The sequence below is a fragment of the Homo sapiens genome (genome assembly GCF_000001405.40).
Source record: "Homo sapiens chromosome 14 unlocalized genomic scaffold, GRCh38.p14 Primary Assembly HSCHR14_CTG1_UNLOCALIZED".
Lineage (NCBI taxonomy): Eukaryota > Metazoa > Chordata > Mammalia > Primates > Hominidae > Homo > Homo sapiens.
Window position 1 is genome coordinate 1 of NT_113796.3, and position 27,623 is coordinate 27,623.

At 38.5% G+C, this 27,623-nt stretch overlaps 1 long non-coding RNA gene across 4 annotated transcripts in view, besides 1 other annotated feature; it reads right to left on the reverse strand.

Annotated features, from left to right (window-relative positions):
• Positions 7,996–8,497: an enhancer, noted in NCBI's record as "OCT4 hESC enhancer chr1:143350812-143351313 (GRCh37/hg19 assembly coordinates)". NCBI's record gives its function as "activates a minimal SCP1, AML or CMV promoter by ChIP-STARR-seq in naive H9 embryonic stem cells {active_cell/tissue: H9 hESC(naive)}" and the evidence as "EXISTENCE:reporter gene assay evidence [ECO:0000049][PMID:30033119]".
• Positions 10,063–27,623, reverse strand: part of LOC105379271 (uncharacterized) — a 114,785-nt gene continuing 97,224 nt past the window's right edge. Inside the window, exons 3-4 of one of the 4 annotated variants that reach the window (XR_007068490.1) lie at positions 14,007–14,274; positions 10,063–10,620 (exon numbers count right to left, since the gene is read on the reverse strand). This is a non-coding gene — a long non-coding RNA (uncharacterized LOC105379271). Of the gene's footprint in view, positions 10,621–13,813; positions 14,290–27,623 lie in introns of those variants that run through there. The other 3 variants (XR_007068492.1, XR_007068489.1, XR_007068491.1) reach the window with 3 other exon arrangements.

Below are 27,623 nucleotides of genomic sequence, written 5' to 3' on the forward strand. Positions count from 1 at the left end.
GAATTCTGTGAAAGCCTGTAGCTATAAAAAAATGTTGAGCCATAAATACCATCAGAAATAACAAAGGGAGCTTTGAAGTATTCTGAGACTTGTAGGAAGGTGAAGTAAATATCTAATATAATTGTAACAAGTAGTGCTTGGATTGTATGTTTTTGATTATTTTTTGTTAGGCTGTGATGGGCTCAAGTAATTGAAATTCCTGATGCAAGTAATACAGATGGATTCAGGAGAGGTACTTCCAGGGGGTCAAGGGGAGAAATACCTGTTGGGGGTCAATGCCCTCCTAATTCTGGAGTAGGGGCTAGGCTAGAATGGTAGAATGCTCAAAAGAATCCAGCGAAGAGGAATATTTCTGAGATAATAAATAGGACTGTCCCATATTGGAGGCCTTTTTGAACAGTTGTTGTATGGTGACCCTGAAATGTACTTTCTCAGATACAGAACACCCTTGGTCAATTGAATACAGATCAATCACTTTAAGTAAGCTAAGTCCTTACTAAATTGATGAGACTTAAACCCATGAAAACTTAACAGCTAAACTCCCTAGTCAACTGGTTTGAATCTACTTCTCCAGCAGCTGGGGGAAAAAAGGTGAGAGAAGCAGGATTGAAGCTGCTTCTTTGAATTTACAATTCAACATGAAAATCACCTTGGGACTGGTAAAAACAGGCGTTGACCTCTGTTTTTAGATGTACAGTCTAATGCCCTACTCAGTCATTTTACCCTTTTTTCTCACTTCATTTATGTTGGCTGACAGTTGACTATTCTCAACCAACCATAAAGATATCGAGACATTATATTTATTATTTGGCTCATGAGCAGGGATAGTCAGTACAGCTTTAAGCCTTATTCGAGCTGAACTCTACTAGATGATCAAATTTATGTCATTGTTATAGCCTATGCATTTGTCATAATTTTCTTTATGGTAATACTATAATTGGAGGTCTTGGCAACTGATTAGTCCCCCGATAATTGGCGCCCCCGATATAGCATTTCTCTGCATAAATAATATGAGCTTCTGACTCCTCCCACCCTCCTTCCTTTTATTACTTGCATCCACTATAGTAGAAGCCGGCACTGGAACCGGCTGAACAGTCTCTCCTCCCTTAGCAGTAAACCTAACACATGCAGGCGCCTCTGTAGATTTCACTATCTTTTCACTCCACTTGACAGGTGTTTCTTCTACTTCAGGGGCTATTAACTTTATTACCACAATTGTTAATATAAAACCCCCAGCCATGTCCCAATATCACACACCCCTCTTCATCTGATTAGTCCTAATTACAGCAGTTCTTCTACTCCTTTGTCTCCGAGTCCTAGCCGCCGGCATCACTATATTGTTAACTGACTGCAATCTTAATACTACTTTTTTTCTATCTGGCTGGCGGAGGTGATCCTATCTTATTTCAGCATTTATTCAGATTCTTTGGTCACCCTGAAGTCTACATCCTCATCCCACTGGGCTTTGGGATAATTTCCCGCGTCGTAACATACTATTCTGGAAGAAAAAAGAACCATTCAGGTATATGGGCCTAGTGTGAGCTATAGGATCAGTTGGGTCCTTACGATTTATTGTATGGGCCCACCGTATATTTACGGTAGGGATAGATGTGGATACATGAGCCTGCTTCACCTCTGCTATTATAATTATTGCTATTCCTACTAGCGTCAAAGTTTTTAGCTGACTAGCTAGCTACACTTCACGGCGGTAATATCAAATGATCCCCCGCAATGCTGTGAGCCCGGGGATTTATTTTCCTTTTTACAGTAGGAGGCCTAACCAGCATTGTATTGGCCGAGGCTTATATTATGGTTCATTCATATATTTAGAAACCTGAAAGTTTCTAAATAAGTTGTAAAAAAGTTGTAAAAAAACCCCAGCTGAAATAACTACGAAGGTGCCTTTAATATTCTGAAGACAAAATAGCTAAGATCCAAACTGGGAGTAGATACCCCGCTATGCTTAACTCTAAACTCGAATAGTTAGATCAACAAAACTGTTCGCCAGAACACTACAAGCAACAGCTTAAAACTCAAAGGACTTGGCGGTGCTTTATATCCCTCTAAAGGAGGCTGTTCTATAATCGATAAACCCCAATTTACCTCACCACCTCTTGCCCAGCCTAAATACCTCCATCTTCAGCAAACCCTGGAAAGGCCGCAGAGTAAGCACAAGTATCTACATAAAAACTTTAGTTCAAGGTGTAGCCCATGAGGTGGCAAGAAATAGGAACGTTTTCTACATCCAGAAAAATGTCGCGACAACCGTTATGAAATCTAAGGGCTCAAGGAGGATTTAGCAATAAATTGAGAGCAGAGTGTTTAATTGAATAAGGCCATGAAGCATGCACACACCGCCCGTCACCCTCCTCAAATACATTCTAGAAACTCATTGTACACTCCCCTGTGATATTGTCCATAATATCCAGGGAGGGAGAGAATGATTTGATTTTTTTTTTTGAGACAGAGCCTTGCTCTGTCGCCCGGGTTGGAGTGCAGTGGCCTGATCTTGGCACACTGCAAGCACCGCCTCCCAGGTTCACACCATTCTCCTGCCTCAGCCTCCCTAGTAGCTGGGACTACAGGCGCCCGCCACCACGCCCGGCTAATTTTTTGTATTTTTAGTAGAGACGGGGTTTCACCATGTTAGCCAGGATGGTCTCGATCTCCTGACCTCGTGATCCGCCCGCCTCGGCTTCCCAAAGTGCTGGGATTACAGGTGTGAGCCACCGCTCCTGGCCAGAGAGAATGATTTTACTCCCCATATCGCAGGGGATTTACATTCCCCTGCATTATTTTTCGTAATATCCAGGGGGAAGATGAAGATGTTACTCCCCATATAGCATGGGAGAACAATTCCCTGCGATATTGTTCATAATATCTCTGGGGGAAAGAATTATATTTCTCCTTTTATCGCAGGAAGTGTACACCCCCTTGTGATATTGTTTATAATATCTAGTGGGGGAGAGGATGATGCTACTCCCCATATTGCAGGGGGTGTACAACCCCCTAGAATATTGTTCATAATATCCACGCGGGGAGGAGATGATGTTACTACCCATATCGCCAGGGTGTACTGCCCCCTGCCATATTGTTTGTAATATCCAGGCTGGGAAAGGATGATATTACTCCCTGTATCACAGGGGATGTACACACCCCTGTGATATTATTAGTAATATCCATGGGGGAGATAATACTACTTCCAATACCATAAACACCCTGTGTGTACACCCTCTGTGATATTGTTTGTAATATCCAGGGTGGGAGAGGAGTATATTACTCCCTATAAGGCAGAGTGTGTATACACCCCTCTGTGATATTGTTCATAATATCCACTGGGGGATATGATATTACTCCCAATATCGTAAACACCTCACATGTACACCGTCTGTGATATTATTTGTAATATCCAGTGGGGGAGAAGATGATTTTACTTTCCACATTGCAGGGGTTTACACCCCTCTGTGATACAGTTTGTAATATCTAGAGGGGGAGAGGGTTATATTACTCCTCATATCTCAGGACATGTACACCCCCTGTGATATTGTTTGTAATATTGTTCCCAATATCCTTTTCCCCCATGGATATAGGAACAGTATCCCATAGGACGTGTACACCCCCTGCCATATTGGAAGTAGTAGTGTTTTCTCCCTTGCTGGACATTAGGAACAATACCATGGGGGGGTGCACACCCCCTGTGATATTGACAGTAATGTAATCCACTATCCCCTAAATATAGGAACAATATCACAATGGTGATGTACACACTTGGTGATATTGAAAGTGATATGATCCTCTCCCCACCTGAATATTGGGAACAATATCACAGAAGGGGTGTACACCCCCTGCGATATTGACAGTAATATCCTCTCCCACCCCCGGATATTAGGAGCAATGTCACAGAAGGGTTGTACACTCCCTGCGATATTGACAGTAATATCCTCTCCTCCCCGGATATTAGGAACAATATCACAGAAGAGGTGTACACCCACTGTGATATTGACAGTAATTTCCTCTTCCCCCCCGGATATTAGGAACAATACCACGGGGGGTGTACACCCCCTGCGATATTGACAGTAATATCATCCTCTCCCCGCCAGATATTAGTAACAATATCACTGAAGGGGTCTACACCCCCTGTGATAGTGACAGTAATATCCTCTACCCCCCAGATATTAGGAACAATACCATGGGAGGATGTACACCCCCTGTGACATTGACAGTAATATAAACCTCTCCCCCCACCCTGGATATTAGGAAGAATACCACGGGGGGTGCACACCCCCTCTGATATTGGGAGTAATATCACCCACTATCCCCTAAATATTAGGAACAATATCACAGGGCGGGGAGTACACCCTCTGCAATATTGGGAGTAATGTCATTTCCCTGCCCCTGCATACTAGGAATAATATCACAAGGGATGTACACCCCCATATGCTCTTGGGAGTAACATCACTCTTTCTTCCCATGGATATTAGGAACAATATCACAGAAATGGTGTACATACGCTGCACTGTATAGAATAAAGCAGGCGGAGGAAGATGGGATAACCTTGCTAGCTGAAGCTTCTGGCTCTCTTTTTTTCTTCTTCCCGTGCAGGACACTTGCTTCCCTTCTTCCTGCCCTCGGACATGAGACTCCAGGTTCTTATGCCTTTGGACTCTGGGACTTGCACCAGCGGCTTCCCCGAGGCTCTCAGGCCCTCGGCCTCATACTGAAGACTGCACTGCGGGCTTTCCTGGTTTTGAGGCTTTTGGACTTGGACTGAGCCACTACTAGCTTCTCTCTTTCCCTACCTGGCAGACAGCCTATTGTGGGACTGCCTTCTAACCGTGTGAACCAATTCTCTCTCGTAAACTCCCTTATACATATACCTGTATCTTGTTGGTTCTGTCCCTCTGGAGAACCCTGACTCATACATTTTGTTTATTTTTTCTCCATTGTCCTTTCCTCTGCTTCTAGGCTTACCTAGACCACCACCATTCTTTCCCCCTTTCTAAAGTAAAAGTTGTCTTTTTCTCACTAAATGCATGGCATTCTGCCCGTTTTCCATGGCTTTCCTCAGCCCTGCTCTGTTTATTCTTGCTATCTTAAGAGGAAATCCCTGCCTCTTCCGTGGCTTTTCCCACTTGGTCTACATACTGGTTTCTGTTGTTCTCAGAGACACACTGGGACCTTTCACATCTCACTGTCACTTCTTGGAAGGGCTCTCTACCTCGTCTGCCTGCTGAGCAACCTCTTGGGGAGACACGGGCCCTCTTGAGTCACTGAACTTGAGCTATTTGGTGTTGGTATGTTAATTTATCTTCTTAGACCACTTACCACTTCTTTAACTTCAAAAGAGAAGAATAAGTATTATTTTCCATGGTTGATATGAAGAGTAGAAATAACTTATACAAAATGCATTGCAGTTAAGTGATAATAAATGGCCGTGAATGCCCTTATTAATGTTATTCTATCAGTCTCGGCTCAGATACCATCTGCTCTGTAAGCTCTGCTCTGAATCATATCTGCTTCTTCTCTGGGTTCCTTGTGCTCTGTTCTTAACTACTTTAAAGCAGTAATTGTTCTGATTCTAATTAGTGATCCTTCCCAATAAAATTTTAAATTTGTAGATCTCTTCCCCCCACCCCTGCCCCAGCCTAACCAGTGTTTTCTTACTTTTTTGTGTACAGGCTACATCACTGGTCTTTCATTTGTGGCTAAATAAATGTTGTGTTAGAAGAGTAAAGAGTTCCCAGTTACATGGGATCTATAGTTCTACAAAATGAATGTATACATAATCCATGTAAATATTCCACTTATTTTAAAACAATTTTTTAATTTTTAAATTAAATTTAATTTGTGCATGTGTGTGAGACCAGAGATGGCGGCGGTGAGGGGCGGTGGTCTCACCATGTTGCCCAGGCTGGTCTTGAACTCCCCTTGAAGTGCCCCCCTCCTCACCTGGCCCCCCTCACCTTGCCTCCTCCCCCTCACTCCTATGCCAGTCCCTGCCATTCCCTACCCCCTCTGCTGACCGCAAGACTCAACAAGTGACTTGCTGAGCAAACCCTGCTGAGAAGAGGTCTGTTTAGGGACACAGGAGGCCAAGTACACAAAAAAGCAAAAGAACTAGCATGACTTTTTCAATGGATGTCTATTTTACAGGGCTGGCTTCAGATTATTGTTATAGCTTTAAATAAAAGGACCGTTTTGTCATCTCGGCCCATGGCCTACATTATTTCTTTACTGTCCATTGCCCTGGGCGCTTGACTAATAATTTAACAGCAATTTTTTTTTAAAATTTTAAATCATGATTCATCGCATTGCTGTAAGAGTAATTAGAGGTAAATTAGGGCTTGAAACTGCCTGTAGTGGGTTACTTTCTGAGATCTTAGCATAATTATCAGGTGAGAGGGTGAAGTTTTAATTAGCGCTAAGTGGGATAGAAATTCAATGCACTGAAACTGCAGTGTCCAATTCAGTAGGCGCTAGCCACCTGTAACTATTGAGCACTTGAAATCCTGGCTAGTCCTAATTGAGATGTGTTGTGTTAAATATACTGGATTTTGTCATTGGAGTGGGAAGAACAGCGTAGAATATCTGCTTGATAATTTTTTATATTGATTACATGTTAAAATTATTACTATGATTACTATTTGGGACATACTGAGTTAAGTATATTTAAAATTAATTTCACCTTTTAATGGGGCTTACTAGTACATTTAAAATTACATATGTGGCTCACATATTTATTGGACAGCACGGCTCTAGAAGTTTAGGAAGAAATAAGAAAAATATTGAGAATAGGTAGCAACAGTAGGAAGTTTGACCTCCTGTAAGACTGATTCCAATAAAACTAATAGGTGATAGTTTTAATTGGCTTTTTCCTACTAGAAAAAGTAAGTGTACTTTACATGTCTCTTTGTTCTCCCTCTTTCCCCTTCAATTTAGTGGTTAGCGTGTATTTACTATATCAGGCTTAATATTCACTAAGCAGTGTTAAGAAGACTTAGGTAAATGATTCCCTGATGAACACACTTGATTTTCAAAGCACTTTCCTAACCCATTTTTAATTGGAATAGAGTCAAAGGTAGATGGCTTATTATTAGTCATCTCATTTAAACCTCATGGAATTTTCCTGCTAAATCTCAAAGTAAACAATTTGTTATAGGCTGTTTTGTCAAGTGCATGGAAGGGACAGCATAAGACATGTGGTACTTCATTTCAAAATTGCTTGAGATGGTTTTCATTATAATCATACATTATTTGCTTCTGGTTTTCCAGAAAAGCCAGCTAAACCTGTGGTTCATTTAGATATAAATGAAATATCCTCAAAGGATTGCTCAAAGTGACTTATGCAACTTGAATATATATTTTTTTCTGTAGGGTGTTTATTCCAAATTATCTGGCCATTTGTGGCAATTTGCAGTTTTTTAGAAAACACCAAATATTTTTCAAGTTAGAGATGTTTTAATAAAAACAGTCATATTGAACTGGAAGCAGCCAAATAAAATGGTCCTTTATTTCACAGTTGAGAATTTGAAATTGGAAGGTAATTAACATATGTAAGGATGATGTATTTGCTGCCTGGCTTATAGGAATGAGCCAAGGTGTTTTTTGAGGGATGTTGTTGCTGTGTATGTCCCACCTATTTTGCTTCCTTAATGAACAATGCAAGTTTGAGACAGAAATATTTGAGAACATTTTTATCAGTTGCGACATTTTGATAGTGAACATTTTATATCTTCTGTAAACTTAAAATGTTTGCATCTTCTGTCTGCTTAAAATGTTTAATTTGTTATACCCAAATAATTTGGCTATAATTGATAATTTAATTTATCAAATTAAATTGTTTTTTTTCCCTTTAGACTTTCTTCAGTCACATCTGAATAAATCACTTAGAAGTAAGCTAGATGTAATATAATGAAATGCTTAAAAGGGCTGTGTATCTTCATATTACACTTACAGTGACTTTCTGCTGTACCCATTATATTCTACCTGCAGCTAGTTGAGGTAAAGAGAGGGCATTTAACTGTCAAGGGGACCTGTTAGGAGACTGTAGAAATCTGGAAAGTCTCTTGGGTCTTTGAGGGATTTTGGGATGCAGAGAGTGGGGCTGGGATCTCTGGCTAGGTTGGAGCCAGCCTGCATTTGTATCTTTATCTTGGAAGCAAACTTAGAATGCAGAGATAGATGTGGCCTGGATGCTGCTAACTCTAGCCAACCACTAAATCTTAAGGTGGGAGAGATGCAGGCTTTGGCTGGGTGCTAAGCTGCTGTAGCTGGTTGAATGTAGAGGTCACTATCTTTTCTGAATACTTGTAAGTAAATTAAATCATTCTCTACTCCTGTATGCCTGCCAACCAAATGGGAAATCGCTATAGAAAAGATGGCTTAAATTTTAGTCTTTGAAGTGGTTAATGCACGTTTCTGGAATCAAGATTTAATGTGGACTTGGATTGGATATTGAATATTTTTGATTTGTCTACTTTTCTCTCCATAGGGAGCTTATAGCTTCATTGCACTGTGTGTGACATTTGGGTCCTGTTTGGCAGCAATGACTGCCTTTCTGTTTAGTGTCTGTGTGCTATGAAGATTGCACACAGGGGTCCAGATGCATCCTGTTTTGAGAATGTTAATGGATACACCAGCTGCTGCTTTGGATTTCACCCATTGGCGGTTTCTATAAAAACTTTAGACACAGTGAGCCACTCTTCTCACGGAATGGTGGAAACCCTCCCAATTCCAATTTCCTAAACACCAGCCAAGGGCCAGCCTTGCATGCAGGCCTTTCTAAGGATGGCAGTCTCTTGCCTGTTATATGAAATCTTTTCTGCACACTTTGTATAACCCCAACTTAATTTTTGGTGTTGTTTTAAAATTTCATTTTAATAACATAATATTATAAGATAAGGTAACTTGGTACTAATTTCTGTTGTATGATCCATCTTAAGTTGCAGCGCTGGTTACTTTTTTGACTTTCAGTGACGAACAGCTATTTGTACATAAGTTACCATAGCAATTTAGGTAATTATAATCTGTCCTATTTATCTCATTTACCTTTCAGTAAAATTGTTAAATAAGCAAAATAATTTCTGAGTTAAAATTAGAATAAAAATTGTCTTTTATTTGGATTACATGAATAATCTAGTTTTCATATTGTGCTAAAGCCCTGCTTAGAATTATGAAATAAGATAAAATATTCAATCATTTTTATCAATATTTTCTTACCTAAGCATGCAATTAAATTTATTTATTTTATATACTTCAATTTGAGAAATAATGACCACATGTTGTTACTTTGGTCTTCAATGATCTCTAATTTTTAGGGTCGCCATGTCTTGCTTAAATATATCATAGTAACAGGTTCAGTGAATATCTTTATTTTTAATTTTATTTACTTATTTTTTTTTGAGACAGAGTTTTGCTCTTGTTGACCAGGCTGCAGTGCAATGACACAATCTTGGATCATTGCAACCTCCACCTCCCAGGTTCAAATGATTCTCCTGCCTCAGCCTCCCAGGTACCTGGAACTACAGGCATGCACCATCATGCCCGGCTAATTTTTTATATTCAGTAGAGATGAGGTTTTACCATGTTAGTCAGACTGGTCTCGAACTCCTGACCTCAGGTGATCCACCCACCTCAGCCTCTCAAAGTGCTGGGATTACAGACTTGAGCCACTGCCCCCAGCCATCTTTTTTATTTATTTATTTTAATTGTTGTTCTGGAAATCCTGGGATGCATAGACAGTGAATATCTTTTTTGTTTTTTGAGACAGAATCTCACTCTGTCTCCCAGGCTGCAGTGCAGTGGTGCTATCTTGGTTAACTGCAACCTCTGCTTTCTAGGCTCAAGCGATTCTCCTGCCTCAGCCTCCCGGGTAGCTGAAATTACAGGTGCCAGCTACCATGCCCAGCTAATTTTTGTATTTTTATTAGAGATGAGGTTTTGCCATGTTGGCCAGGCTGGTCTTGAACTCCTGACCTCAGGTGATCCACCCACCTTTGCCTCCCAAAGTGCTGAGATTACAGGCATGAGCCACTGAGCCCAGCTGAATATTTTTTTTAAATCAATAACCTTATTTCTTAGAGTAGTTTTAGGTTCACAGCAAAATTGAGAGGAAGGTACAGAGATTTCTCATATATCCCATGCCTCCCACACACGCATAGCCTCCCCCATTATTAGTATTTTCCACCAGAGAGTGGTCCATTTGTTACAACTGATGAACTTACATTGACACATTATAATCACTTGAAGTTCATAGTTTACATCAGGCCTCACTCTTGATGCTGTACATTCTGTGAATTTGGACAAATATATAATGACATGACATGTATCTATTACTGTAATATTATCGACAGAACAGTTTCACTGCCCTAAAAATTCTCTGTGCTATGCCTGTTCATCTCTCCCTTTCTCCCTAGCAACTCGTGACAACCATTGATGTTTACTCTGTCTTCATAGTTTTACTTTTTTCAGAAGAGTCATATAGTTGGAATAAGAAGAGTGGATATCTTTTTGAGTAGTTAAAAAATTAAAGCTCCATGGCAGTTGAATGTAGTCATTTAAGATGTTCTTTGTCCTTTTGTTTTTCTTTTGCTTCTTTATCATTGTAAAGAATGATGTATTCTGATGAGATATGATTTACATACTTAGAAAACATGATTTGTATAGATATGTGGCACATAATAGAAAGGGTTGAGGAAAAGGACACCACGCCGTACTACACAGCACAACCTGGAGCATCTTGCTCTGTGAGGTGGGTCCAGATAGACTCTTTAGCAATGGAAGAGGACAAGTGCAAAGTGTTGTGCTTTATAAAACTGGAATCACAAAGTCTTTCATACTTACATTCGGTTGGAAATAAGACCAGGCATGAATGCTATTAGGTAAATACATAAGTTCCTCACTGATCCTCTTCCTTTGAGGGATGAGGTTGACAACAGCCTGTATTATGATGGCATGACTCACCTACAACTAGATTCTGTCATGAGAGATGACAAGGGAGTTTTGCTTTATGCGAGGTGAAAAAAATTTTTTCTCCTACTAGGGAGATGGGCAAACATTAGAACATTCTGGTAGTAAAAGGGCATTGATAGTTTCCTTTCTATATATTTTTTCACATCAGATAATATTGCCCGGCAGCCTGCCATACCTCCCCAGTGTTTATTCAGCTTCTCTCTGAATGTGGATAAGCTCTTAAAGGAGTGATCTTTCCAGTGGTTCTTTCTGTGGGAGGTAAAATGGCAGGTGAATTTGGGGCTTGTTATACGTAGGCCAGAGCAAATAGCTACAACTAAGGAAACCACCCAGCACCTTACCCAGAAGAGTATTAGCCAGAGTAACACACTGATCTCTCTTGAGATCTTCTCCACTGGTGGCTGGAAAGTATTTGCAAGGATTCCTGTTTCTGGTCTGATTCCTATGTTTTGTTGGTTTCTGGCGATAGCATGTTTTATTCTAAACTAAACAGTTTGATCTGAAGAGCTAGAGAGGCTGTGTGGTGTTATAACAAAATAAGTGCAGTAACTACACCTTAACTGTGGGAGATACATTTCAAGACCCCCAGTGCATGCATGAAACCATGAATATTACTGAATCACAAGCTGTTTTTCCCTATACATACATATCTATGACAAAGTTTAATTTATAAATTAAATTAAATCTGATGTTATCTGTAGATAGGGTGTGAGAATTGAATTGTGTCATCAGCAGGAATGATTGCTTGTTTGTTGGTGGGGAAAAACTCTCCACACATTTGGTTACAGAAGCCTTCTTTGTTGATGATTGTTGCTGTGGTGTGACAGCAGAGAAAAACGTGTCAAGTATGTCTTTCTGCGCATATAGTGGATAAGGGGTACTAGTGTATACTCTGTTGTAATGGCCCCTCATATTTTGGTCCAGAAATCATGCTCTTTGACACTGTTGACTCATCACACCTGTTCTGCTAACAATACCATTTTTACTCAATCTCATAGGCTTTGGCTAGGATGACTTGTATACTTCAGTTCACTTGTAGATACCAAATTTTAATAAATTTATTCTTCTTTGCATCTAATAAATACAGAGGGAAGAGTTCTTACTGCATTAATTACCTACCAATACTTATAATGAATGTTAATTCTAATAAGTTCCCAGGCATGCTCCCAAAGGAATGCTTTGTAACAAAACGTCAGTCTTATGCTTTAAAAAACCAAACCAAACCAAAACAACAACAACAACAAAAAACAGGATCTAAAGCATACACACAAGTGTGCACAATTTTTTTATGAAGGTAGAGTCTTACTATGTTTCCCAAGCTGGTCTCAAACTTCTGGGCTCCTCAAGTGATCCTCCTGCCTCATCCTCCCAAGTAGTTTGGATTAGAGGCATGCATCACTGTGCATTCTTATGATTTTAATATTCTGTACATTTATTATTGATTTAAAATGCATTTTACCTTTTTCTTTAATAGATGTTGGAATTTCTGATGAATCTGCAGTCAGGTAAGATTTCATAGATTTAAAAAATTATGTTAACTAAGAAAATATAGATGGAAGAAACTAATATCTGTTGAGTGTTGTATTCTGGGCTAGACATCCTAATATGTTCTATGCATTTATCATCTCATAAAGCCATCATAACATCTGTGTTCCTATAACCTACTGTTAAATAAACAACTATGGATTAGAGCTGATTAATTGCCTCATGATCCCATAGTTAACAAAGTAGCTGGCCTACAGTTTGACCATCAGCCTGCCTGCCTTCCAAATCCTTTCTCTTGCTCCTCAGCATAGATTGATAGATATCTGTGCAGCCCTTGGATCAAAGTATAGGTCTGAATCAGATCAATCAGATTCATTAATTTGATTAACTTCTAAATTAATGAGAGTTTAAATACCTTGAACTCTCATTTAAGTTTATTGTTAGAATGTGGTTAGTCCTAATAAATTTGACGATTTCAGTGGTAACCAGTATCTTATTTTTACCTTCAAAGGCTCTAGGGCAGATCTGACTTAGCTTTGGCCATAGGACTGTAAGTTTTACCAAAGCAAGTTTAGGCAAGTCTTAGAGACAAATTATTTGACTTCACAGTTTGGTTTTCCATTTAGGCAAGTATTTCTGCTTACTTCCATAATACATTTTTTAGTCTTGTTGCTTTTTCCATGACTTTTATATAATCTTGTCCTCATTTTTTAAAACTTTCTTCTCTGTTTTTCTTGGTGTTTCTTTTGTTCTATTATTTTTTCAAACTCTGCTGCCTATGTATTCCAAGTTTTTCTATAGACAGAATCAAGAGGACATAGAATTACAGAATTTTAAGGAATCTTGGAATGAATTAAAATACCTTCTAGTATTTTTCTCTGCGTTGAACATTCTGGTCAAGTGATTCTCTAGATAGAGAATGTGAGGCTCAAAGAGATTACGAAGCTTTTTTTTAGACATAGGAATTGGCAGAAATGAGATTTGAACTCATGGTAAAGCCCAGTACTCTTGCTTCTTTCTATGTCCTATTGGCGTGTGTTTTAATAATACAAACGGAAGTGAGTCTGTGGATAGAATGAGAATGGAATTAGCTGGTGAACCCAATGGAAGTAGATAAGAATGGAATGAGCAGGGGAAGTCCAAGTTTGAAGATAAACAACACTGGATTGGATAGGAGTACGGACTCTTCTACAAGAGATCAAAGTATTGGGGTTTATGACAAGTTTGATAAAGATAAATTATAAAAATGAAGGACACAAGATGTTGGGAATTATCTACAAAGGCACATTAAAATAGAAGGTTCAAGGGAGCTCTAAAAATTTTGCTGCTTTTTTTTTTTTTAAATCAAGGACTGACAAACTTGAAGATTTTTACTGAAAGATGCCAAAACATTTTGAGACACTGGGAAGAATGTCTACAGCAGATAGAAATGTGGTGTCATCTACTTCCATCCTGACTTACAAAGGGGTGGCTTAGAGCCCCTGGAGTACTAAGGGGATGGAAATTGCTGAACTACATAGATGTGTGGCACAGGGCAGGTGTCTCCTCACCTCTGCCTCTTTTCACAGTTCACTGATGTCCTTCCCATGTCCATGTGGGCTGGGTCAGGGGCATGATTAGCTGGAAAATCAGTCATGGAGTTCAGTTGGGTAGTTGGTAGTGTGTATAGCTGGTGGCAGGTGATGGAGACTCCAGTTAGCTTGTTTTTCAGGAGCAGGGATATAGAGAGCTCCTACTCCTGGTCATTTGAGGCCATTCTTTCAGGAATCTGTGCTTTCATACACTGAAGATTTAAAGATTGGAGACTTCTGTGGAACCCTGCAGAAGTAGAATCTGGAAGTGGGTGTCCATAGGAAGAAATATACTTAGATAGTACTTAGGGAAATAGAGGTACAACTATCATGACTCTGTTTCTTTTCTGGCAGTCTCTCTCCTTGGGTGTCTGAGTGCCTATGAAAATTTTTAAGGGATTGCTAGTTTATGTGGACCTGAATAAGGTAGGACCTATAGAGTGAAAATAATAGGATTTTATAATTGTGAATATTTTAATCTTTCTGGGAAAAGTATTCTCAATAAGAACATACATCTTTGCTATTTGACTTCTGTACATTTAGCTTTCATACATTTCAAATATTGTGTTGGTTTTCCTGTACCAATTTAGGGTAAAGGAAAGCAATAGGACCTTCCTAAGTTGGATCCATGCTGAGGAATCAAGACTACCATTTTGAAGTGATGTAGATTAGTCTTTTATCCAGAGACAGATCATGGAAAAGAGACAGTGGATCTTTCTACCTTGTTTTAGGTCATCAGTTTTATTCCAGTTTAGGGAACAAAATTTATGTCATCCATTAATTGAATTTTAAGTTCAGCTTCAGGACAGATAATTTGTGAGGGCACATTATTGTCAGGCTCTGCCAATATATTGACTGTCACTATTTGTTATAAACCTCAAGGTTAGTTTTCATTGAATATTTTATAGATTTAGACAGGTGGAGGCAGAAATAGGTAACTAAAATCTCTTTTTAGAACAGAGGACATATTTTAATTATATCAAGAATCGTAATTTAATATATAGATCACTGACTTTTCCCCAGATTATGTTTTCCTTTTTTTGAGGGGGAAGCTGGATATAAACTGGCAGTTAAAAAAATTGTAAAGAAATCAACTTGCTCATTTTCATTGTGTATTTTTGCTCTCAAGCATTTTGCATGAACTGTGTGTGGATTCATTGCCTACATTGGATGATGAAGACTTGAGTGTTGCTACTAAGGTAAAGTGGTCTCTTGTAAAATTAATCTTCTCACTCTGGGTGTAGTTTTGCATAGTATTTACTTTTCAAATTTAGCAGTGGTTTACCTATCATTGTTTTATGGTGGTAATGGAAAGCTGGTCAGAGAAAAACATACACATGGCTAGTTGATTCAAAAAATGTGTTTAACTTTGGTAACTAATAAAGATTGGTAAGTACTGTGACAGGGTGGGAGCTGAAAAATAAATGAACTGGAAAATAAGTAGTCACAGGAAAATCACATTAGGAAATGCTTTCTCCAATAGAGGAAATATGAACTTTGGTTAAAGTTTATTTGGATAAATACTAATACTTTGACTTTTAAATCATACGAGTGTGACTTTCTTAATATTTATTCCTGTATAAACCTTCAGTGGATCAAATTGTTTGCAGTAATCATGGAATCCTCCTGGTAATTTTTAGTGGCAGAAATGTTCAGCACATAGCATATAGCTTTTGTTCTTGGAAACTTATCATTTTGGTGTCATATAGTTTTTAGGAGAGATTGTTTCTCTACTTATATTATTGGTTCTGTAGTGAGACTAAAAAAGTATTAAAAGTTGTAGAAAAATAGCTGAGTTTGGTGGTGTACACCTGTAGTCCCTGCTACTTGGGAGTTTGAGACAGTAAGATTGCTTGAACACAGGAGTTTGAGAACAGCCTGGGTAACATTGTATCTGATTTAAAAATATAAATTGTGGAAATGTAGAAATTTAAATTTATGTTCTCAAGATTTGTATTGCAAAGGGATTTTTATGTGATTTATGAGTTGTCCATGAAGAGTTTATATAAAACACTTCATCTAATTGAATAACATGTATTTTCCTGCAAATAACCAGTTCTAGAAGCAGAGACTCTTAATACCAATATGGTAAGTCTTTATCATCATAATTTTGTCATTGTAGTTTATTTAAAATATTTACTTGGCCAGGCGTGGTGGCTCACACCTGTAATCCCAGCACTTTTGGAGGCCGAGGTGGGTAGCTCACCTGAGGTCAGGAGTTCAAGATCAGCCTGGCCAACATGGTGAAACCCTGTCTCTTAAAAAAAAAAAAAAAAAGCACAAAAATTATCCAAGCATGATAGTGCATGCCTGTAATCCCAGTTGCTCAGGAGGCTAAGGCAGGAGAATCGCTTGAACCCAGGAGGCAAAGATTGCAGTGAGCCAAGATCGCACCATTGCACTGTAGGCTGGGTGACAGAGCAAGACTACATCTTAAAAAATAAAATAAAATAAAATAACCACTCAAAGTCCTTATATCATATTCTGAAAGTTTGAATGTCAGAAGGTTTTCTATTTAGTTTTTTAAATGATCATTGGAACTCCTGCATACCATAAGCTACTGGAGGTCAGTAAACATATTTGTGTGTATCCTGGAGTACCTAGAATACAGTCTTCCATGTAAGAAGCATTTTACTTGTTGTTTTTTGAGATGGGGTTTCACTCTGTCACCCAGGCTGGAGGGCACTGGTGAGATCTTGGCTCACTCCGATCTCCATTTCCTAGGCTCAGGTGATCCTCACACCTCAGCCATCCAAGTAGTTGAAACAATAGAGCTATGTCACCATAGACCTGTGTCACCATGCTGGGCTGAGTTTTGTAGAGATAGGGTTTTGCCTTGTTGCCCAGGCTCTTCTTTAATTGTTGGGCTCAAATGTTCTGCTCGCCTCAGCCTCTCAAAGTGCTGGGGTTACAGACATGAGACATTCAGCCTTAATAGTTGTTTAATCTGAATAAATAAACAAATGAATTTTTATATAATGGAATGTTATAAGTAATATAATAAACCTAATGTATCCAATCATTAAATATTGTATTTAAAATATTGCTTACATTGTATTATTTTTTAATATTTAACGGTGTATAAGTTTTGACATGTTATGTTGAGAATTTATGCCATAATTAAAAAGGAAATAAAATAGAAATAGGTCATCGGTAGCAAAGAGGGTTACAATATATTTTCTAGTATCATTCAACTGGAATCTTAACATTGAGATTTTAGATTAATATTTCTTAAGCTTTTTATTAGACCCAACTCATGTTCCATTAAATACACCATTTCAAGCCATACATTACTCTTTATTATTATTATTATACTTTAAGTTCTAGGGTACATGTGCACAACGTGCAGGTTTGTTAAATATGTATACATGTGCCATGTTGGTGTGCTGCACCCATTAACTCGTCATTTATACTAGGTATATCTCTTAATGCTATTCCTCCCCTCTCCCCCCACCCCATGACAGGCCATGGTGTGTGATGTTCCCCATCCTGTGTCCAAGTGTTCTCATTTTTCAGTTCCCACCTATGAGTGAGAACATGTGGTGTTTGGTTTTCTGTCCTTGGAACAGTTTGCTCAGAATGATGGTTTCCAGCTTCATCCATGTCCCTACAAAGGACATGAACTCATCATTTTTTATGCTGCATAGTATTCCATGGTGTGTAAGTGCCACATTTTCTTAATCCAGTCTATCATTGATGGGCATATGGGTTGGTTCCAAGTCTTTGCTATTATGAATAGTGCTGCAATAAACATACATGTGCATGTGTCTTTATAGCAGCATGATTTATAATCCTTTGCATATATATCCAGTAATGGGATGGCTGGATCAAACAGTATTTCTAATTCTTGATCCTTGAGGAATCTCCACACTGTCTTCCACAATGGTTGAACTAGTTTACAGTCCCACCAACAGTGTAAAAGTGTTCCTATTTCTCCACATCCTCTCCAGCACCTGTTGTTTCCTGACTTTTTAATGATTGCCATTCTAACTGGTGTGAAATGATATCTCATAGTGGTTTCGATTTGCATTTCTCTGATGGCCAGTGATGATGAGCATTTTTTCATGTGTCTGCCATACATTACTCTTTAGAATTCTGGTGACCAATTCTTTTTCTGGGTGGAAAGTTGATGGAAAGTTCCAGTTTTCTCTCTCTGTTATAATAATGTTCTTTCAGGTAATGGTAGATGACCATATTTAGCTAATTGAATGTCTTATAGTAAGAAACACTATCACAGAAGTACTTACAAAAAACTAATTGCAGCATAAATATTAATTAGTATTATCAGAGTTATGAAAGACCGAAGGCTCTGTTATAGATCTATTTCCCCATGTACTTTATTGTACTTCATGTTTTTCGTTTTCTTTCTTGGCTTAAGCTCATATTTCATTGACTAATTAGGCTTGTTTTTTGTTTGTATCTCTCTTTTAAATTGAAATTTTTGGGGAGGCAGGGTCTTGCTCTGTTGTCCATGCTGTAGTGTAGTGGCATGATCTTGGCTCACTGCTGTATCCACTTCTCAGGCTCAAGTGATCCTCCCACATCAGCTTCCCAAGCAGCTGGGACTACAGGCACACACCTTCATGCCTGACTCCTTTTGGTATTTTTTGTGTAGAGATGTGTTCTCATTATGTTGGCCAGGCTGGTCTCCAACTCCTGAACTCAAGCAATCCACCCACCTTGGCCTTGCAAAGGGCTGAGATTACAGGTGTGAGCCACCATGCCTGGGCAACATTGAGATTGATTTAAAGAAATTGATTAGGGCTGGGTGTGGTGGTGCACACTGCTTATCTCAACATTTTGGGAGGCAGAAGTGGAAGATTTGCTTGAGCCCAGGAGCTTGAGACCAGCCTGGGAGGTATAATGAGGCCTTGTCTCTACAAAGATAACAATAAAAACATTAGCATGACATGATGGTATGCACCTGTAGTTCCAGCTATTCAGGAAGTTGAGGTGGGAAGATTGCTTGAGGTCAGGAGTTTGAGACCACAGTGAGCCATAATCAGGCCCCTGCATTCTAGCCCTGGGTTGACAGAGTGAGACCCAGTTTCATAAAAAGAGATTGATAAGAAACTCTTGATGCAACTCATTATAATTTTAAATGGAAACTAATTCTTGATATTACCTTAGCAGTGTGTCCCCAAGAAAGTGTCAGAGCCTTTACGTGGACCTTCTCATGAAAAAGGAAACAGAATAGTCAATGGAAAAGGAAAAGGTGAGAACCGTATTTTATTTAAAAAGTCATTTGATGGAGACCAGGCGCGGTGGCTCACGCCTGTAATTCCAGCACTTTGGGAGCCCTAGGTGGGCGGGTAATGAGGTCAGGAGATCAAGACCATCCTGGCTAACATGGTGAAACCCCATCTCTACTAAAAACACGAAAAATTAGCCGGGCATGGTGGCAGGTGCCTGTAGTCTCAGCAACTCAGGAGGCTGAGGCAGGAGGATGGTGTGAACCTGGGAGGTGGAGCTTGCAGTGAGCGGAGATCGTGCCACTGCACTCCAGCCTGGGTGACAGAGTGAGACTCCATCTCAAAAAAAAAAAAGGCATTGATGGAATGTTTCTTTTAAAATATGAGCACTAATAGAGTTTAATAGCTAAAGAAAATGTCCTATTAACTGTATCATAAGTAAAAGAGAAATGAAATGGTGATAAGTGGTGTCTCTAACCAAGGGTCAGCAGTTGATTCTATTGGAAGTACCACTAAAGGAGGTGAGTTATGAGTTCCATTTTAACATACTCTAAGACCTGAGGCAAGTCAGGAGAGAGGGAAGAGGAAATGAATAAAAGAGAAAGAAAGAATGAGGAGGGCAGAGTGTACATGGAATAAATAAAAAAAAGTGGATGTATGTAATGGAGGGTAGTAAAGTCAAATTGATCTGTAGAAGAAGGAAGAACAGGGTGTTAGAAATAGGAAGGAAGATAAAGTGAGCTTCCAGTACCAAAATGTGTCATATAATTACAGTAACATTTTCCTTCTCTTGCTGTCATTCTCGCTACTGGGGAGGCATTAAGGATTGAGGTACTTTACCATGCAGACCTGTGTTTTATCTACCATAGATGAACATCACCATAAATGGTCAGCCATGTATGACTGTAATTTGTTTTCATAGAAAATGTTGTAACTTCATAGGATAGTATCATATTAACATAATTGAAAAGAATAGTGTTGGGTGATTTATTGGGAAGAAATTAATTAGAGAAGCTTTGCCTGATTAAAAGTTCATTAGAAACATTATGGCTTATAACGTAGTATTAAATTCAGGGACATAATAGGAAAGAAGTTGAGGCTAGGCCAAAAAGGCCAATTAGGGTAAACCAATATGGAAGCACACCAGTGTAGAACAAGGCATTCAAATTGTCATGAATACGTTGAGGAGCTTCTGGAAAGTGCACATTCTGACTCAGCAGGTATTGGAGTCTGCATTTCTCATGAGCACTCAGGTGATGTTTGTGCTGGTCCTTGGACACAGCTCTGAATAGCAAGGGAATAGCCTTCCTTTAGAGAAATCTGGAAAAAGAACCACTGGAGAGCAATTTAAAAGATAACAGAATCCAGGGAAAGCTTTAATTTCCTTTTATTTCTGAGCATGATTCTAGCCACAGGGGAAGGAAAATGAGATGAAAAAAGAGAGATTACAGGTGTATACTACTGCTGAATACAGATGAAAAAAGTGGTCACAATCATCCATAAAAAGCAGTTAGGAAGGGAAGCATCAGGATGACAGTTCTGATAATCATTTTTTCAAAGGAAGAGGGATGGTGAAAGGACACAAAAGGAGGAAAGAAAGACATTTGCTGGGGTCTTGGGAGTTAAAGCCAAGTTAACTTGAGACAACTCACTTCCAGTTGCTTCAGCATATGCCCAGTCTCACAAAAGAGGTTATTGCTGTGGAGAGTACTGGAGACAGGAGGGAGTGCTAGAGTTGGGGTAAACCACAGCAGCTCATTTCACTTGATAACTGTCAGGCCTCAGGGAGAGAAGTTTCACTGACATGAGTGAATAAGATATGATTAAGTTGCATATAGATGCTTTGGTGAAATTTTTTTGAGACAGCCAGTTCTTCGATATGATAGCTGTTTTATAAAAGTCCTTTACAGTGTAAGATAATATACCAAACTCAGTTAATTTTAGAAGTAATCATAAAATTCATTCCATGAAAACCAAAATTATCATTTTCAATAAATACTGCACTGATTTTGAAATATAAATATGTATTAATATCCAGCAAGTCTGTGGTCATTCAATGTTTTCTTTTTTGATAAATATTTTCATATCAGAAGCTTATTCGACATGGTTTATTTGATGTGTTTTATGGACCACCTTGCATGAGTGGATCAAGGAGCTCTAATTCAAGGCCAAATGAGGGGATAGGAGAAATGTAGGTGCTGCAGTAGCCCATGTGATCATGGGAAAAATGAGTAGTTTGATTAGCTGTTATTTCATAAGTGTGTATCCTAGCTGATCAATGTAGAACCCTTTCTTTGATGAGAGGTGAATCACACATTCACCTGAACTGTCATCCCAACTGCGTATTTCCTCAGTGACAAGACAAGGGGAATTTATTTGTGCTGTGCTGGCAGCAATGCCTCTGGTGTGTGGAGTTAAAATACTCTGTACATTCACCATCAGCTTTGACATTGATTCTCTCAGGTTTGATTTGCCCCTCTGTTTAATGGTCCCTTTTCTCCTCATCAGTCCACATGTTCACGGTTATATCAATGCTTTTCTATTTTAAGTATAGGCATTTGAAACATAATCTCACTACTGAAATATAAACTGTGCATTTTGGGAATCCTATATTCCTATTTTCCTCATTGTGTTTCTGTCATGTTGCTGTCCTAGGCAATGAAAAGAAGAAGCCAAGAAGAACCCTCAAAACCTTAAGTAATTATTTTTATAGCCAGGCCTGAGAATTCAGCTCGACAGTAACACTGCATGAATGTTTGGTTGGCCTTGTCATACTTACATATAATTGATGACATATCCCCTTTGCTTTGTAGGGCCTCCTGCAAAACATCCTTCCTTGAAGGTAATTAATTATGTATATTTTTGAATCACTAACTCCATGTTGTATAAAATATATATGATTTATGAATCGTTATCTTTTAAAACCCATTCAGCCTAGCACTGAAGTGGAAGATCCTGCTGTGAAAGGAGCAGTACAAAGAAAGTATGTACAGACATTGAGAGCAGGTACATTTAATGGAATACTGGAAATAAAGTACATTCAATGATTGGATGTACTCATATTATTCTTATTCCTAATTCTATTTGTTCAATATTGAACAGAAGGCATTGACATAAATGTTATTGTTGGTATCCATATTTGAATAAAAACAAATTTAGAAGCATAAAAAAGATTTTAAAAATGTAAGCTTTAAGTCAGATGTTTCTGTTTAAATGTTTTGAATAGCATGAAGTTTTCAGTATAAAATTTTTATACTTGTCAGGGATTCAAAGCAGTGAATTTTGAGACTCTTAAGATATTTCCAGTGAGTTAAGTGCTAGTTGGAGTTCTGATCTTTACCTAGAGGAAAGCTTTACTTATTAAAGTGTCAGTTTCTGTTTTAACTTCAGAGGCTTGCTGCTAGTGTTATTACACTGATGATCTGAAACCTATCAGATGTTCTAATGAGCAAGACTGTGTGTGTAGGTGTATATATAGATGTGTGTATGCGTGCGCTTGTGGCATCTTTGACTATTACAAATGACGAAAGTAATGATTCATTTATGACTGGTAGACACAGTCTTTTAAAATGGTGATTTTGAGCCTTTTTGGTGTTAAAGTTTTTAAAACATGATTGCATAGAGGCTACCAACATCATAAGTTGGTTGTTTTTCATTTCAATGCCCTTTTGAAATCTTTAATTACATTGTGATGCTCAGAAATAATATGCAGAATTTTTTGTGTCCTAAAATGGTATGTGAGTGGTTATACACTTTATATACCTTTCTGCCACTTTCTTTGGTGTGTTTTGTATTATATTTTCCACTTGTACCCACATTGGTGTGATTATCCCTGGTTTAATTCATTTTACACTGTTCATTGTATTCCCTCATACCACTTTACCACATTTAGTTAGACTCTCCTGTTGCTGATAAATGAAGAAATAAAAAGAAAAATAATGTCAGATTAAGAGGGCTTTTCTTTAATTGGTTTGTATCTATTAGCGTTTACTATATGAGAGTTTAAACCTGAAAAGTTCAGAATACAAGCATACACCACCATATTTTATTAATACCCTTAGAACTATGACTCATGAGCCTTTAGCCTATGAAGTTAGCACAATTCATTTCTCTGAAGAAGAATGCTGGGCTGTTCTCAGAAAAGAAAACTGAAAATAGCAAATGATATTGTCTTATTTTACCTCTTGGACATCCTTGAATGAAACTGCTACTAAAGGGATACTCGGATCAAAATTCAGATCTAATGTTTTGAACAGTATAGTTTGTGAATGTCCAGTGATCATGAGCCCTTGATGGGGAAATGACCCTTCGAGTTTCACTTTTGCATTCTCTTTTCGTTGACTTGTCTTGAAAGCTTAAATTCAACTATTTTATTTTTACAGAAACCAGGAATATAACTTTTAAAATATATGTCTGTCCTGTCTCACGGTGTTGTGTACTCTTCAGATCTTGTATGAACATAGACTTATATGGGAAAAATTAGGTTGTTTGTTTATTTGTGTTTTTGAGACAGAGTCTTGCTCTGTCACCAAGGCTGGAGTGCAGTGGCTCAGTCTTGGCTCATTACCACCTCTGCCTCTCGGGTTCAAGCAATTCTCCTGCCTCAGCCCCTCGAGTAGCTGATACTACATGCACGTGCTACCATACCCTGCTAATTTTTCTATTTTTAGTAGAGATGGGGTTTCACCAGGTTGGCCAGGCTGCTCTTGAACTCCTGACCTCAGGTGATCTGCCCACCTCGGCTTGCCAATGTGCTGGGATTACAGGTGGGAGTCATTGTGCCAGCTACAAATAAGATTTTTAAGGCTATTATACTTTATACAATTATTTGGTCTATGTGAATTCTGAAGGTATTCATGCATTGAGGGAAGATTATCTCAGTTTAATGAAAGCATTTTTTAATTTAACGTATATTCATTAAAATTTTTTTTGAAGTTTTTGTCTCTAGTACACAGAAACACACAATAATGTCATGGGTATTTGACCTTAATGTGTTTATGCACAAACTTAGTTATTGAAATATTTTCTTATACCTGAAGAATCTTAATTACTAATAAACAAATTTCTCATGGAAAACAACATATATAACAGAGATGGTTGAGTGATTGAAAGTAAACTGTAGTAAATACCAGAAGCTTAGAACAAGTTAAGTAAACTTTTCTGAGTTAATAGCAATTACAAGACTTTTAAAATACATTAGACCACGGGGGAGTAGTGCATTTGTGGGGTAGAGGACAACATGGTACTGCTTCAGTGAAGAAAGAACTTTTACACCTTATTACAATTTGTATTATTATTTACATTCTAATAAATAAAAACTTTATTTTCAGATATTTTACATCATGTTTCTACTAGTTGAACCATCAATAGTAAGACTTTTCAAAGATTTGGGAAGTTGTGAGTTGATGATAAATATCTGTATCACCATCAGTGATAAAAATCAGACAGCAACTACCACAGATTTTGGACACGCGAACTTCATAGTTAAAGAAAGGATTAATCTTGGAGCTGTGTTTCTATCAAGGAATTACACTCTTCTTTACCTGTGTGAATCGCAGTTATTAGAGTAGAAAGAGAGCAAAGAAGGGAAAGAAGCATAGAAAATTTTATTCTAGATTACCTCGTTTGGCTTCATGCTACCATAGTTCTGACTTTTAAAAAGTCATTTTGTGGTCAAATGTACTTTGTGTTTACTCCCCTTATGCAGCCTACAACCAAACAGAATGGTTCTTAGCAAGGCATTTGTATTCTTCCCTTAAGGAAAGCAACATATAAATAACAAAGAGAATGAGAAGAAAGAGTGATTTCATTGAGGTTGGTATTTAACATAAATTTGAGTGCAGGTACCATGATTATATTTAGAATTTTGTGGCTGGATGGGAAAACCAGCTAGATGTCTATAGATTTCCTACTCAAACACAATGTGCCTTTGTTTTACTTTTACGTCTCTAATTTAGCAATTATTAGGTACAACTGTATGCAGTGTCACTAAAAATACCTCCCAAAACCAAATATTAAATAATGTCTATGGCTTTCTGTTTTATAGTGTTTATTTTTGCAATATTAATGGGAACCACTTAGCATTTGCCTTGTGGTGTCTCCTCAGCTGTATTCACATATTCCATCACCTTTTCTTAATGGATAATCATGCACTATGAGTAAGGGTTTTCAGAAAAGCTGTGTCTTTTAAAGATAACACAGGAGCATCAAATTTAATTCTGCTAGGACGCCTGGTCTACTGATTAACTGCAGCTAATATGAGGTCTACTTCACATCCAAGTTAAATTCAGTGCCCTTAATCAGTCATATGATGAGGTCAACAGTAATAAATTATGCAATATTTTTTCACCCACCCCTATAGTTTTAATTTCTTTTTCCCCTTGTGTCTGTGTTTAACATTTTGCTTTGCAAAACATGATGATAATCTTCTAAAGTAGTGAGGACAAGCTATAAATCCAAAGTTTCTTACCTATGCAAATGACTTGTTTGCTCTATTTTCTCATGAGCTTGGTAGATCCAGGAAACATAACTTTTAAAACAAAATCCCCATATATTGCTGGGTGTGGTGGCTAGTGCCTGTAATCCAGCACTTTGGGAGTCTGAGGCGGGCAGATAACCTGAGGTTGGGAGTTTGAGACCAGCCTGACCAACATGGAGAAACCCATCTCTACTAAAAACACAAAATTAGCTGTTCATGGTGGCACATGCCTGTAATTCCAGCTACTAGGGAGGCTGAGGCAGGAGAATCACTTGAACCCAGGAGGCAGAGGTTGCCATGAGCTAAGATCACACCACTGCACTTCAGACTGGGCAGGAAGAGTGAAATTCCATCTCAAAAAACAAAAACAACCACAACCACAACAACCACCACAAAACCCAAATGCATTTCCTTGGCACAGTAAAACTGAAAAGAAAAAGGGTAAAGTAAATACAAGTAACTGAAAGAGTTTATGTATATTATTTTACTTCTCATTTGATAAAATTTGTAAAGTAATGAGCAGAGTGTATTTCTTCAGGGACCCAGATATATACATTTATTTATTCAATAGAAATTCATTCTTATAATGGCCACTGATACCTATATCCTAAATATTTCTGAAAACATCTCCTCAGGCCTGCATCACCTTTGCAACATTGCCTTATATTTTATCTTTGTTCATTGATTTATATGCCTCATAATTTTATGCTCCTCACAGTATTTAGAGTGAATTATCCTTAATGCAAATAGATCCGTGAACCACTCCTGAATACCTAATGTCCAAGCATCTTAAAGGTTTATATAAGGATTTCAGAAACTGACTTCTGGGTTGGGCAAGGTGGCTCATGTCTGTGATCCCAGCACTTTGGGAGGCTGAAGCAAGTGGATCATTTGAGGTCAGGAGTTCAAGACCAGCCTGGCCAACAAGGTGAAACCCCATCTCTAATAAAATACAAAAATTAGCAGGTGGTAGTGGCACGCGCCTGTAATCTCAGCTACTCAGGAGGCTGATGCAGGAGAATTACTTGAACCTGGGAGGCCGGGTTGCAGTGAGCTGAGATCATGCCACTGCCCTCCAGTCTGGGAGACAGAGTATAACCTTGTCCCAAAAAAGAAAAGGAAAGGAAACTGATTTCTGCCCAAATCTCCATCTGTATCCCTTTCCCCATCTGCCTTTTTCTCTGGAATTACTGAGCTGCTGGTAATGGCCCCTCACCATTCCTCTTCTGCAGAGAAATACATACTCTCTTGGAGGCTTCTCTTCCTCTCTTGTTGCCGCCTGGCATGTGCTCACCCTTTCCTGCCCTCTGCCTCGCTTAATCTGGCTAACCTCACTCTCTAAGTCTCAGCTCATGGGTGATCTTTAGGAAAGCCATCCCTGACAGCTTCTATTTTCCTTCCTTATTCCCCAGTGCCTAACACTTAGCAGGAACTCAATAAGTAATTATTTAGCAAAATTAAGACTGTTTATACAAAGATGATTCAAAAGATTGTCCTCTACAGTCTAGCAGCAAAGGGGGTCAACATGTAAAGACATGATGTGCAGGTCAGGTGGTAAAGTGACACTAGAAAAATTGACAAGGTACTAAGGGACCCCAACGAAGCAGACACCTGTGTGTGTGGAGAAAGATAGCTAGAATCAAGGAAGATTTCACATAGCATTCTGAGCCTTTTTTTCTTCCTCTTTTTGGAGACAAGTTCTTACTCTATCACCCAGGATTGGAGTGCAATGGCATGATTGAGACTCACTGAAACCTCAGACTTCTGGGCTCGAGGGATCTTCTCATCTAAGCTTCTTGAGTAGCGGGGACAACAGGAACATATCACCATACCTGTCTAATTTTTTGTAGAGTCAAGGTTACCTATGGTTCCCAGGCTGGTCTTAAACTTTTGGCCTTGAGCAATTCTCCCATTTTGGCCTTCCAA